Source organism: Homo sapiens, chromosome 19 (genome assembly GCF_000001405.40).
Source record: "Homo sapiens chromosome 19, GRCh38.p14 Primary Assembly".
Taxonomy (NCBI): domain Eukaryota; kingdom Metazoa; phylum Chordata; class Mammalia; order Primates; family Hominidae; genus Homo; species Homo sapiens.
Genome location: NC_000019.10, coordinates 57,977,053 through 57,991,751, shown reverse-complemented (window position 1 = coordinate 57,991,751; position 14,699 = coordinate 57,977,053). Strand labels below are relative to the sequence as shown.

The 14,699-nt window shown below is 43.5% G+C and overlaps 1 protein-coding gene across 5 annotated transcripts in view; it reads left to right on the top strand.

Annotated features, from left to right (window-relative positions):
- The window catches only part of ZNF606 (zinc finger protein 606), a 26,294-nt gene extending 11,595 nt beyond the window's left edge, over positions 1 to 14,699 (top strand). For 3 of the 5 annotated variants that reach the window (NM_001348024.3, NM_001348023.3, NM_001348022.3), the window contains 3 exons: positions 3,031 to 3,157; positions 3,450 to 3,545; positions 11,473 to 14,676. In NM_001348024.3, coding sequence (NP_001334953.1) covers positions 3,124 to 3,157; positions 3,450 to 3,545; positions 11,473 to 13,451 — 2,109 coding nt within the window. In that variant the 5' untranslated portion in view covers positions 3,031 to 3,123 and the 3' untranslated portion in view covers positions 13,452 to 14,676. Of the gene's footprint in view, positions 1 to 3,030; positions 3,163 to 3,449; positions 3,546 to 11,472 lie in introns of all 5 variants that reach the window. The other 2 variants (NM_025027.4, NM_001348025.3) reach the window with 2 other exon arrangements.

The window sequence follows — 14,699 nt, the reverse complement described above, 5'->3', positions numbered from 1 at the left end:
CTGGAGTGCAGTAGTGCGATCTTGGCTCACTGCAACGTTTGCCTCCCAGGTTCAAGAGATTCTCATTCCTCAGCCTCACGAGTAGCTGGGATTATAGGCGTGCACCACCATGCCCAGCTAATTTTTGTACTTTTAGTAGAGACGGGTTTTCATCATCTTGGCCAGGCTGGTATCGAACTCCTGACCTCCCAAAGTGTTGGGATTACAGGCATGAGCCACCACTCCCAACTCCATGTTACATTTAAATAAAAAAACCTTACATTACCATAAAATGTAGAAACAGTAGTCATCAAGCATACTGAGGTCTGGGCAGTCTGTAAGAGGAAAACCAAGAAGTTGTCATTGACCATGGGGGTTGGGGAGTGTTTCATAGAGGGAGGTTGTGGCCAGCACTTCCAAATGCTGCATAGGCCAAGAAGGTAAAGGCAGAAATCAAACTTTGGACTTGACAATCACAAGACATTGGGGAGATCTTGGTGAGAGCTTGGTAAAAATAAGAATCATATAATTGTTGCTCCAAGATCCTTCAATATAGATCAGCAAAAATGATAAATATAAAGAAAAAATTTCCAATACCAAGGAACAGGAAAACGGATAATAAAGGCAGAGGAGGAACTGCACTGGGGTAAGGCTGGAAGACAAGGAAGGAGAGAAGGCGAGGGTGCACTGTACCTTGCAGGAGGAGATGGACTGTCAGAAGCAGTGGGACGAGGGTGCAGGAGGCGTCTCTACATGGGGTGTGAGGCTGCAGGAGGGATGATTCTGTGTCTTCGAGGTTGTGAGACACAGAGATGAGGTTCAGCCGTGGAAAAGAGGATGGACAGTCCTTGTCATGGGGCACAGTAAGGCTGAGCCTGGGGGGTCTTGAGCAGGAGTTGACTTTTCAGGGTATGGTATTTATTGGAGCAGAAGCAGTTCTTTGTTTTAAGCCCATCATGTGAAGGTAGAGGGGAAGCAATTGAGACAGAGTAAAAATGGATACACTGAAAATTCAGCAGGGAGGTCTGGCCCAGATCAGAGACAGCAAACTCAGTTCATAAGCTGTGACTAAGAGGGCCACAGGAAACGCTGTATTTGGGTAGAAGTGATATGATGTAGCTGTGAAGAGGAGGGGCACAGGTCCAGAGGACCCTTGGAGTGGGAGCGGTATACTGCACACGTGTCTGTTGAGCGGGTGTCTTGCGGTTGATTTTTTTTTTTTTTTTTTTTTTTGAGACTGGGTTTTGCTCTACTGCCCAGTTTGGAGTGCAGTACTACGATCTCAGCTCCCTGCAGCCTCCACCTCCTGGGCCCAAGCTATCCTCCCACTTCTTCAGCTTTCCCAGTAGCTGGGACTACAGGTGTGCACCACCACACTTGGCCTGAGTTGATTTCTTTTTTTTTTTTTGAGACAGAGTCTTGCTTTGTCGCCCAGGCTGGATTGCAGTGGTGTGATCTCAGCTCACTGCCAGCTCCGCCTCCTGGGTTCACGCCATTCTCCTGCCTCAGCCTCCCGAGTAGCTGGGACAACAGGTGCCTGCTACCACGCCTGGCTAATTTTTTTGTATTTTTAGTAGAGATGATGTTTTACCGCGTGTTAGCCAGGATGGTCTCAATCTCCTGACCTTGTGATCCACCTGCCTTGGCCTCCCAAAGTGCTGGGATTACCGGCGTGAGCCACTGCGCCCGGCTCTTTTTTTTTTTTTTTTTTTTTTTTTTTTGAGATGGAGTCTCGCTCTGTCATCCAGGCTGGAGTGCAGTGGCACGATCTCGGCTCACTGCAAGCTCCGCCTCCCTGGTTCAAGCGATTCTCCTGCCTCAGCCTCCCAAGTAGCTGGGATTATAGGCGTGTGCCACTGCGCTGAGCTAATTTTTTTGTATTTTTAGTAGAGACGGGGTTTCACCATGTTGGCCAGGATGGTCTCATCTCCTGAGCTCGTGATCCGCCCACCTAGGACTCTCAAAGTGCTGGGATTACAGGTGTGAGTCACTGTGCCTGGCGAGTTGATTTCTTAAAAGGACTCGAAGCTGGGTGCAGTGGCTCATGCCTGTAATCCCAGCATTTTGGGAGGCCAAGGTGGGCGGATCACTTGAGATCAGGAGTTCGAGACCAGCCTGGCCAACATGGCAAAACCCTGTCTCTACTAAAAATACAAAAATTAGCCAGGCGGGGTGGTGCACGCCTATTGTCCCAGCTACTCGGGAGGCTGAGGCAGGAGGATCACTTGAACCTGGGAGGCAGAGGTTGTAGTGAGCTGAGATCACACCATGACATTCCAGCCTGGGCGACAGAGCGAGACTCTGTCTCGATAAAATAATTAAAAAATAATAATAAAAGGACTTGAGGGATGTATTCATTGGAAAAATCAGACTTAGATTACCTTTCCTTTTTCCTTCTCGTTTTCCAGTTAGTTTTCTTGCTTTCATTAAAAAAAAAAATCAGTTTAGATTGCTTGTAACTAATGTGCTTTTAATGGCAGCTGTAACCGATTCTCCTTGGCCTGGGCTGCTCTGGGGCATCCTGCTCACCCTTAGCTTCAGTCCTTGGGACAGAGATGAACTGAGAATGGAAACCTCCCCACCATGGCTGGAAAGACAACTTGTGAATGTACAGATCACCCTTTCAGGTCCTTTATCTGGGTGTCGGAGCAAAGACTCCATCCTCAAGGTCTCGCTTGTAGCCAGTGCTCATAGCCTGTTGCTGCACTGGTCCAGGCCTTTTTATATGACTGCCTTTCCAGAAGAGGGGTGTTGCCAAGGTGGGGGACATAGCCAGTGTGCTGGAATTTGGCAAGAGTCTTCGAAGAGACCTGCTCAGCTTTGCTGTGGTTATTGTGGACCCAGGTATCTAATTCCCTAAGAGTATATAACAAATATGAGGTCTTGGGTGGTTCTCAATGAGACCTGACTCACATTAGTCAGACTCTTGAATAACCAGGAGAGTTTCTCTACATCCTGTCTTCTCTCCCCAGGGCTGTCAGCCTCACTCCATCCCTGGAAATATTGGAGGGGGTGGTCACAGGCTGAGAAGGAACGTTTGTGTTCTTTTAGGAACCAGTGACCTTCAAGGACGTGGCCGTGGACTTCACCCAAGAAGAGTGGGGGCAGCTGGACCTTGTTCAGAGGACCCTGTACCGTGATGTGATGCTGGAGACCTATGGTCACCTGCTCTCTGTGGGTAAGGCAGGTGCTGCCCAAGTAAACGAAGCTGTTCCCATGGTAATGCCTTCAGCTGCTCCATGTTTAGAAGCTCATTGCAGGGGCGAGGGTGGTGTCTCAGAAGAGCTGAGATGATCTTGGGCCCTGAGGTTCAGGGATGAAACTCCTAATGCTTAAAGAGCATGGAGTGGGAAGGACCTTGCATATTCTGCCCAGGTTGAGAAGTCACAGGGAGGAATAGGCAAGAGAAGCTTTCTTTGGCTGTCCTGAAGCCTCATGACATGATTTCCATGCTTTTCCTCCATGCATAGGAAATCAGATTGCCAAGCCTGAGGTCATCTCCCTGTTGGAGCAAGGAGAAGAGCCGTGGTCAGTGGAGCAGGCATGTCCTCAACGCACTTGTCCAGGTGAGGGCAGACCCCAGGCTGAACAAGGAACTTCCCCCCAAGCCCTCTTTGTTGAGAAATGGGATAAGGCCATGAAGAGTTACCTTCCTCAGATGCATTTAGAATTCCCTCTAAGGAGCTTTCTTCTCTTGCTGCTTTTGATTTAGAGCAAAGAAGCATCACCATCCTAATAAGGTAGCCATTTTCCCTCGCTGTCGGCTCTTGATGGCTCCTGTTTTCTGCGGTCCCTTCCTCTAAGGTTGCCTCTAAGGTTACCTCTTATCCATGTAGCTACTTCAAATATTTTCCTTATTTCCTGTATTGCCAAACTTGTAACCTATAGCTATAGATGCTTATTTCAAAAAAATAGTCTTTTTGGGCTTTTTAGTTTGTTTGTTTTGAAATAAAGTCTCGCTCTGTCGCCCAGGCTGGAGTGCAGTGGTGCGATCTCGGCTCACTGCAACCTCTGCCTCCCGGGTTCAAGCGATTCTCCCACCTCAGCCTCCTGAGTAGCTGGGATTACAGGCACCCGCCACCATGCCTGGCTAGTTTTTGTATTTTTAGTAGAGACGGGGTTTCACCATGTTGGCTGGGCTGGTCTCGAACTCCTGACCTCAAGTGATCCGCCCACCTCGGGCTCCCAAAGTGCTGGGATTACAGGCATGAGCCACCGTTCCCGGCTTGGGCTTTTGTTCTTTCTTACTTAGATCTTGTGGGTACCAAACAAAATAGATTTTTAAAATATAGGTAATGTTCAAATATCTGAAAGCTACTTAAAATGTATAAGCTAAAAAAAAAATCTCCTTTATTAAAAAACTTAGCTGGGCTTTATGGTGCATGTCTGTGGTCCTAGCTACTCAGGGGGCTGAGGTGAGGATTGCTTGAGCCTGGGATGTTGAGGCTGTAGTGAGCTGTGATTTCACCACTGCACTCCAGCCCGAGTGACAGAGCAAGACCCTGTCTGAAAAACACCACCAAAAATAACTCATTTTTACTCCCTGCTGTTACTCACATTACTGTTATTCCCCCAAAACACAGATACACAGAGGCATACACACAGGTAACTACTTTTCTTTTACTATAAAATCTTGAGTTATTTTCTTGGTAGTTGCCCTGGGGATTACAATTAACATCTTTTGAGACAAGGTCTTGCTCTTCTGCCCAGGCTGGAGTGCAGTAGTACAATCTTGACTTACTGCAGCCTCTGCATTGCAAGCTTAGGCAGTCCTCCCACCTCAGCCTCCTAGGTAGCTGGGACTACAGCCATGCACCGTCATGCTCAGTTAATTAAAAAAAAATTTTTTTTTGTAGAGACAAGGTCTCACTATATTGCCCAGGCTAGTCTTGAACTCCTGTGCACAAGCAATCCTCCTGCCTTGGCCTCCCAAAGTGCTGAGATTATAGGTGTGAGCCACCACGCCTGGCCCTACAATTAACATCTTAATTTATGACAATGTAGTTTGGATTAATACTAGTGTAATATTAATAGTATACCAAAACTTTGTGTATAGCTCTGCCCTCCTCCTTTTATGCTGTTTTGTCACAAATTACATCTTTATACATTGTGTGTTCATGAATATGGATTTATAATTATTGCTTTATGCAGTTGTCTTTTAACAGACTGAAAAAAAGGAGCTAGAAACAAGAATTTTACTTATATTGTCTTTTTATACTTATGTAGCTATCTTTATTGCTGTTTTTTATTTTGAGTTACTGTTGAATGTTCTTTCATTTCAGCCTGAGGAACTCATTTTAGCATTTCCATTTTGTTTTTTGAGATAGAAAAGACACTCTGTTGCCCAGGCTGGAGTGCAGTGGCATGATCTTGGCTTACTGGAGTCTCAACCTTCTAGGCTCAAGTGATCCTCCCATCTCAGCCTCCTGAGTAGCTGGGACTATAGGTGCACACAACCACGCCTCACTGTGTTGCCTAGGCTGGTCTTAAACTCCTGAGCTCAAGTGATGCCCCTGCCTCAGCCTCTCAAAGTGCTGGGATTACAGGCGTGAGTCACTATCCCCAGCCAGCATTTCCTGTCGGACAGGTTTGCTAACAGTGAACTGTGGCGTTTTGTTTATCTGGAAATCTCTTGATTTCTCCTTCATTTTTGAAGGATAATTTTACTGGGTATAGAATTCTTGATTGTCATGTTTTTTTGTCTTTCTTTCTGGCCTGAGTCGTTTCTGAGAAACAAGCTGTTAATCTTATTGAAGATCCCTTGTACGTGATGAATTTCTTCTCTCTGCTTTCAGGATTCTCTCTTCGGCTTTTATTTTATTTTATTTATTTATTTATTGAGACAGACTCTTGCTCTGTCGCCCAGGCTGGAGTGCAGTGGCGCGATCTTGGCTCACTGCAGCCTCTGCCTCCTGGGTTCAAGCGATTGTCCTGCCTCAGCCTCCTGTGTAGCTAGGATTACAGGGGCCCGCCACCACGCCCAGCTAATTTTTTTTTTTTTGTATTTTTAGTAGAGGCAGGTTTCACCGTGTTAGCCAGGGTGGTCTCAATCTCTTGACCTCATGATCCACCCACCTCGCCCTCCCAAAGTGCTGGGATTACAGGCGTGAGCCACCACCCCTGGCCCTAGTTTAATTATTATGGGTATGCATGTAGCCTTCTAGGTTGGAGCTTCTCAGAGTCCCTATAGACATCTCATTCCTCAGCTCTTTCATTCTATCTTTTTGACTCGTGTGTTTTGGGCCCCACCTGTTTGCCATCACCTCAGGCAGTGGTGACTTTAAAACATTGCCTGTAAATGTTAGAAAAGTACCTCCTCCCTAGAGGTTTTGTAACACTATGAGAGTTCTCTGTCAGGCAAAATAAAGACCAGCTTTTCCAGTGGAGTCTTCCAGGGAGCCACTAGGCAGGTCTAGTAATGAGTGTTCTTTGAGAATGAGGCTTTGAAAAAGCTCCAGCTTTGTTCTGCTCACTGAAGTACCAGAAGTGGGGGCTGTCATTTTTCCAAGGCTGTTACTGAGCCAGAGATGGGACCGGGGTAAGTTAGAACACCATATAGCTTACTGTTCTTATTAAAATTTACTTTTCTAGAATACATGTTTTCCTGGTTGCTGCAAGGCTTTGGTTAATTTTGTTTTTTTGTGTTTTTGTTGTTGTTGTTGTTTTTGTTTTTGTTCTGAGATGGAGTCTCGCTCTGTCGCCCAGGCTCAAGTGCAGTGGCATGATCTCAGCTCACTGCAAGCTCCGCCTCCCAGGGTCACGCCATTCTGCTGCCTCAGCCCCCCTAGTAGGTGGGACTACAGGCGCCCGACACCACGCCTGGCTAATTTTTATGTATTTTTAGTAGAGTTGGGGTTTCACCATGTTAGCCAGGATGGTCTTGATCTCCTGACCTCGTGATCCGTCCGCCTCAGCCTCCCAAAGTGCTGGGATTACAGGCATGAGCCACTGCGCCTGGCCTAGGCTTTGGTTAATTTACAGAATTTTGAAAAATTGCCTTCTGACAGTTTTGCCAGTTTTTTAGTTGGTTTTACAGAGTGGTGAAATTTTACATGTCTTTACTTGGCCATTTTCACTGACATTCTGCCTCAGGTAATCACTTTTAGTAATTTCTGTTACATGCATAACAGAGTTTCTTTATGCAGCTACAAGCATGTAGGAATTTGTAGTTATTTTTCATGTTTTCAACAATAGGAGATTATACACATTGTCTTTATCTTATTATTTTTGGCAATGTGCCACAGCCTCTTCTTGAGTCCTGAAGTTGGATTATCTTCCACCCACTCTAATGGAGGGGACTTTTGTGGAGAATCTCTCCAGTTGTTTTCCATTCAGATTGGAAACTTTCCCCTAAGAGCTCATGAATTCCAGGAGCTTTAATTCTTCTACCTTCAGTGCTGCCCATTCTTAGTTACCATCCAGAGCCCTGCAATTCCAGCACCTCTGTCCTTACACTTCTCCCATTTTACAAAGCATCTCACCTGTCTCCTTGATCACAGCCGATAGAACCAGTAATCTTGTCTCTACTTTCTAGATGTTCTCCCATCTTCCTGAGGTGCATTTCTGCATGTCCCCTAAGCTGGAGATTGAGAAGTCATCTTGACTTCGAGCTCTTTCCTCTCCAAGAAGTAATCTCTCTTCTAACTCCCAAGATTTTCTTCCTCTGAAATGTTAGTTACGTCATTCAGCTTCCATCATCACTCTCACAGTCCGGCCCCTTTCTCGTAAAATTCCAGCCCAAGTTGATGAGGAAATTCTCACTTGTTATTAGCCACCTCAGGTACTATTTCTAGATTTATATCCCTGAAATCTTTGATTATGAGATCCCTGTCAGTAAACCTACAGTGATTCTAATTGCCTTGTAACAAAACAACTGGATTTCAAAACCTTCTATTTTTTCTATTGTTTCTCTCATTTCCTGAATAGCTCCTGGAGTTTTATTCAGCAGGTATCCTTATCTTCCTCCTCACACACTGGTCACGCCATGCATGCCTCTGCTCATGCTGAGTGACTAGTCAGTCTGTACCCAGGTCGTGCTTCAAGGCTGAGCTCATGTTGTTTCTCTTGTGTGAACCATCCTCGATCACTTCAGTTAGTGCTGATGTCCTTTTTTGATCTCCCACCCACTTAGCATCTGTTCTATAACCCCACCATCTCAGAGTGATATTTCTTTTTCTTTTCTTTTTTTTTTTTTGAGACGGAGTTTTGCCCTTGTTGCCCAGGCTGGAGTGCAATGGTGTGGTCTTGGCTCACTGCAACCTCCACCTCCCGGGTTCAAGCAATTCTCCTGTCTCAGCCTCCCGAGTAGCTGGCATTACAAGCGCCTGCCACTATGCCCGGCTAATTTTTTGTATTTTTTTAGTAGAGACGGGGTTTCACCATGCTGGCCAGGCTGGTCCTGAACTCCTGACCTCAGGTAATCCACCCGCCTCAGCTTCCCAAAGTGCTGGGATTACAGGCGTGAGCTACCATGCCCGACCTCAGAGTGATATTTCATGTATATTCATCACTGTTTGGTAGGATCTCTCTTCACATAGATTCTGACTTCCAGGGAGACCGTACTTTCTTGCCTTGTCTCTGGTGCTGGAAACTCAGTAGACTACAAGTACTGAGTGAGTATAAAGTTGGACAAGAACTGTTCATTTGGTCTTTCAGTTGGTCTTTCATTTGGTCAGGGAATTGGTCAGCTTCCATTTGTAAAAAGCTTTTACTGGAAGGATTTAAAAATCTATATGAAGATAATTCAGTAACTTTTAAGAGCTGAGCTTGAAATTGATAATAAATGCCAGTTGTGCAGAGTAGAACCTCTGTTATAATGGTCGTGGGGGCCAGGGATGGGGGTTCACATTTGTAATCCCAGTGCTTTGGGAGGCCAAGGTGGGAGGATTATTTGAGCCCAGGAATTTGAGACCATCCTGGGCAACATGGCGGGACCCTGTCACTATAAAAAATTTAAAAACATTTAGCCAGGCATGGTTGTATATACAGGATTCATGCCTGTAGTCCTGTTACTCGGAAGGCTGAGGTGGGAGGATTGCCTGAGCCCAGTAATTTGAGATTACAGTGAGCTATGACGGTACCACTGCACTCCTGCCTGAGTGAGACCCTGTCTCAAAAAAATTAAACAAAAAATAATGGACTTGGGTGGTAAAAGGGGGGAAATTACATATAGTAAAGAGAAAAAAAGAAGCAGAGAGAGAGGGCAAGGTCTAGTTCTTGTTGGGACCTGCCTGGGGCTTTAGACCCTGTAGCAATCTGGATAATGACTTCCCCCACAAAGATATCTGCATCCTAATCTCCAGAATTTGTGAATGGGGCACCTTGTATGGCAAAAGGGACCTTCAGATGAGAGTAAATTAAGGATCTTGCTGTGGGGAGATTATCCTGGATTGTCTGAGTGGATTCTAAATGTACTCACAAGGGTCCTTTTATAAGATTGTGGTGGGAGGGTCAGAGACATGGGAGAGGATGTGATGACAGAAGCAGAGGTTGGAGTGATGAGCTTTGCAGATGGAGGAAGGAGCTGCGAGCCAAGGAATTGGGGCAGCTTCTAGAAGATGGAAAGGGCAAGGATATGGTGGATTCCTTAGAGCTTCTGGAGGGAGCACAACCCGGCCAATAACTCCATTTTAGCCCAGTGAAAGCCGTTTTGGACTTCTGACTTCCAGAACGGAAAGATCATAAATTTGTGTTACCTTAAGTTACTAAATGTGTGGTAATTTGTTACAATAGCAGAAAGAAACTAATATAGCCTCCTTTGGTTGTTAGAGGATTGATACTTAAGCAGTGATAATAGGCAGTTCCTGTGTATTAAACTTGCCAGGAGTTTGGCTGGATTCTGAGTCTCGACTTTAGTCATCAGAAAAGCTCTCTAAGGATAGCAGCAGGGCCATTGTTCACATACAGATTAGCAGACTGTAACTCCTGTGTCTGTTTTTTCACACTATGCTGTCTTCCTAGTCCATCTATCATTGCTCTAAAAATATTCTGTGGTGGATAGAAGTGTAACTTTAGGGGTATCCATAAACTCTGGTGATGTTTGCCCTTTGGGTTGGTGGATCTTGTGTGATTGACTGGATTCTGTGACATAGGAAACAAAGCATTTTGTCATAGATAACATCCTGGCTTGAAGCCTCGCTTGGTGATACTCTCTAAACACCCCTCTCCTCCTTTTTTCTGCACTTGTCAAGATATGGGAGTAGAAGGACATTATAACACAGAAGTGAGAGCACTCATGATGTAAATATTACTTGCTAAAGGCCTTGTGTGCTCATCTACCTAACTTTTGTTAAGATGAAAGGCTTTATTCTTTTTTTTTCTTTTTTAACCTTAATAACATTCACTGGGTCCTTTTGTCAGGGGTCTTCAAGACCACCTCCAGGTTCACTGATTCACTATGAGTACTTATAGGACTCAAAAGTCATTATACTCAGGATTATGGTGTATTACAGTGAAAGGATACAAAGCAACATCAGCAAAGGAAAAAGGTGCATGAGGTTAGACCAGGTGCAAGCTTCCAGTAGCGTACATGGGGCACACTTAATTCCTCAAGCAAGGAGTTGTGACAACACGTGCGAAATTTCTACTAGGAAACTTGCCTGAGTCTAGGAGTCCAGTGTGTTTATTGAGAGGTTGCTCATCCAGGCACACAGTGCCTGCGTGACTCACTGCCATCGCTGAAACTCCAGACCACCCTGAGGGAAAGCAGGTGATCACTATGAATGACATTGTTTGCACACATATCTAAATAAGTTAAAAGTAAATGTGCTTCAATACCTTGAGCATGCAAAACACTCTTACTAGTTAGAACATTCCAAGATCTTAATTCCTAGGAGTTGGCTAAGGGCCAGTTAGGAAACAGGCTACCTTTGCAAGGTTTGAGCACGTCAGGCCTGCAGAGTTAACTCTTTCTTGCACATTTTTTTTTTTTTTTTTTTTGAGACGGTGTATCGCTCTGTCGCTCAGGCTGAAGTGCAGTGGCGCGATCTTGGCTCACTGCAAGCTCTGCCTCCCGGGTTCATGCCATTCTCCTGCCTCAGCCTCCTGAGCAGCTGGGACTACAGGCACCCGCCACCACACCTGGCTAATTTTTTGTATTTTTAGTAGAGACAGGGTTTCACTGTGTTAGCCAGGATGGTCTTGATCTCCTGACCTCATGATCCGCCCGCCTCGGCCTCCCAAAGTGCTGGGATTACAGGCGTAGCCACCTCGTCCGGCCTCTTTCTTGCACATTCTTATACTGGTCTTCCTTTTCATGGAAAGTACTTTTAAATGGTTTCATTAGTTTTCAGTACACACTTTGTATTCTGGTTAACTGTTGTTTACTTTTCACTATTCTTTTCCCTATTATGATCTTTCTCTGAGTTCTAAGCCTGGACTTGAAAACAAATTTATACTAGTGTTTTTGATAATATGGACAGTAAATCTCACCATTCCCACTTTATTCTAATGTCTTTCTCTATGCTCTCATAGCTTTTTTTCTGTCTGTTTCAGAATGGGTGAGAAATCTTGAAAGCAAAGCATTGATCCCAGCACAGAGCATTTTTGAGGAAGAACAATCCCATGGCATGAAGTTGGAAAGATATATATGGGATGATCCTTGGTTCTCCAGGTTAGAAGTTTTGGGATGTAAAGACCAATTAGAAATGTACCACATGAACCAGAGTACAGCTATGAGGCAGATGGTCTTCATGCAAAAGCAAGTACTATCCCAGAGAAGCTCTGAATTCTGTGGACTTGGGGCAGAGTTTAGCCAGAACTTAAACTTTGTTCCATCTCAGAGAGTTTCTCAGATAGAACATTTCTATAAGCCTGATACACATGCTCAAAGTTGGAGATGTGACTCAGCCATAATGTATGCAGATAAGGTTACCTGTGAAAATAATGATTATGACAAAACTGTTTATCAGTCCATTCAACCTATTTACCCTGCAAGAATACAAACTGGAGATAATCTTTTCAAATGTACTGATGCTGTTAAATCTTTCAATCATATAATACATTTTGGTGATCATAAAGGAATTCACACAGGAGAAAAACTCTATGAATATAAGGAATGCCATCAAATCTTTAACCAGAGCCCATCATTTAATGAACACCCAAGGCTTCATGTTGGAGAAAACCAGTATAATTACAAAGAATATGAGAATATCTTTTATTTCTCATCCTTTATGGAACATCAAAAAATTGGTACTGTAGAGAAAGCGTATAAATACAATGAATGGGAGAAAGTCTTTGGGTATGACTCTTTCCTTACTCAACATACAAGCACTTACACTGCAGAGAAACCCTATGACTACAATGAATGTGGGACGTCTTTCATCTGGAGCTCTTACCTTATTCAACATAAGAAAACTCATACTGGAGAAAAACCCTATGAATGTGATAAATGTGGAAAAGTTTTTAGGAATCGCTCAGCCCTTACGAAACATGAACGGACTCACACTGGAATAAAACCCTATGAATGTAATAAATGTGGAAAAGCCTTCAGCTGGAATTCTCATCTTATTGTACATAAGAGAATTCATACAGGAGAAAAACCTTATGTTTGTAATGAGTGTGGGAAATCTTTCAACTGGAACTCTCATCTTATTGGACATCAGAGGACTCATACAGGAGAGAAACCTTTTGAATGTACTGAATGTGGGAAATCATTCAGCTGGAGCTCCCATCTTATTGCCCATATGAGAATGCATACTGGAGAGAAACCCTTTAAATGTGATGAATGTGAAAAAGCTTTTAGGGACTACTCAGCCCTTAGTAAACATGAAAGAACTCATTCTGGAGCAAAACCATATAAATGTACTGAATGTGGAAAATCCTTCAGCTGGAGCTCCCATCTTATTGCCCATCAGAGAACTCACACGGGAGAGAAACCATATAACTGTCAGGAATGTGGCAAAGCATTCAGAGAACGCTCAGCCCTCACTAAACATGAGATAATTCATTCTGGAATTAAGCCCTATGAATGTAATAAATGTGGAAAATCCTGTAGCCAGATGGCTCACCTTGTTAGACATCAAAGGACTCATACTGGAGAAAAACCCTATGAATGCAATAAATGTGGAAAATCCTTCAGTCAGAGCTGTCACCTTGTTGCTCATCGGAGAATTCACACTGGTGAGAAACCCTATAAATGTAATCAGTGTGAAAGATCCTTTAACTGTAGTTCTCACCTCATTGCACACCGGAGAACTCATACTGGAGAGAAACCATACAGGTGTAATGAATGTGGGAAAGCATTTAATGAGAGTTCATCCCTTATTGTACACCTAAGAAACCATACTGGAGAAAAGCCCTACAAATGTAATCATTGTGAAAAAGCATTTTGTAAGAATTCTTCCCTTATTATTCATCAGAGAATGCATAGTGGAGAGAAACGCTTTATATGCAGTGAATGTGGAAAAGCCTTTAGTGGTCACTCAGCCCTACTTCAACACCAGAGAAATCACAGTGAAGAGAAACTGAATTGAATTTATGCGAGTTTTTCGTTTCTTGTACATTTGACAACACATTGAGGAAAACCCTATAAACATAATCAAGAGGGGACATTTTTCATTAAGAGTTCAGTAAGACTTCTCCCACATTATTTACTAGAAAATATCATCTTAGAAGAAACCCCATGAAGGAAAAGAATAGGGAAAAGCTTTCAGCAGTTATTTAGCCCTTACTCAAAATCAGATAATTAACAATGAAGGAAACTCTAAACTCCCCTTATGGTCTACCAGTAATTCATACTTGAGGACCATGACTGTGGGGAATGAGGCATCTTTTAGCAAGAGCTCTCACCAATTGTAGATTGGTGTGAATTGCTAAGGGAAAAACCTTATGCAGAGAAAAGTTTTTGACTGGAAATACACTGTTTTGCATCAAGCTGGAGTACTGGATGGAAAACTCTACAATAACATTTTGTGCATAATTGTAGAAATACAGATTTTGTTGTTATAAGGGGAGGGTCTGGGTGCCCAGGAGTAGAATATGAAGTGCTAAATCTGAATGTAAGAAAAATAATAGTATTGAATGGGGTATTTACTGTTGATTAACCTCCTTAGAGAAAATTAATGAATGAGATGACTAACGGTAGAAAAGTTATTGCCTAGGAGTGTGAGACTGATGTTGCTGGACAGAAAGTGATCCTTAGCCCAGTGTGTCAGCGTCCATTGTTACTCATCACTGCATTGTTGGGCAATTAGTTTGTAATTTGTTTTAGGCAATCACTATAAATTATAATTATGGACACTGCATCAGTATACATAACATGAAGGAATAAAAAGGATACAGAATTGTATATACATACTTACTGTAACACATCTAAAAAAATGTATATGGGTAAGGACCTGAAAGATCCATGGAAAAGTTAACCCAGTTGAGATTTTTAAAAAGTTTTACAAATACATATAACACTTATGTGCTGGGCTTTCTTTTAAATGCTTTCCAAGTGTTAACTTGTTTAGTCCCCTTTACTCTGAGATAGGTACTGTTACCCCAGTTTTACAAATGGCTAAGCTGAAGCAGAGATGTTGAAGGATCCTACCTAAGGGGCACAACTAGTAAGGGAGTAGAGCTGAGATTGGCTCCAGAGTTCTTGTTTTCAGCCACCATTTTATGCTGCCTCTCCAGTGATTTTTTTTCCCATTTTCTTCAGTGTTTCTATAGCAGAGATTTGATAATAAAAAGAAAATCCTAAACAATGAGAAATAAAGTTACCTGGTTTCTCTGTC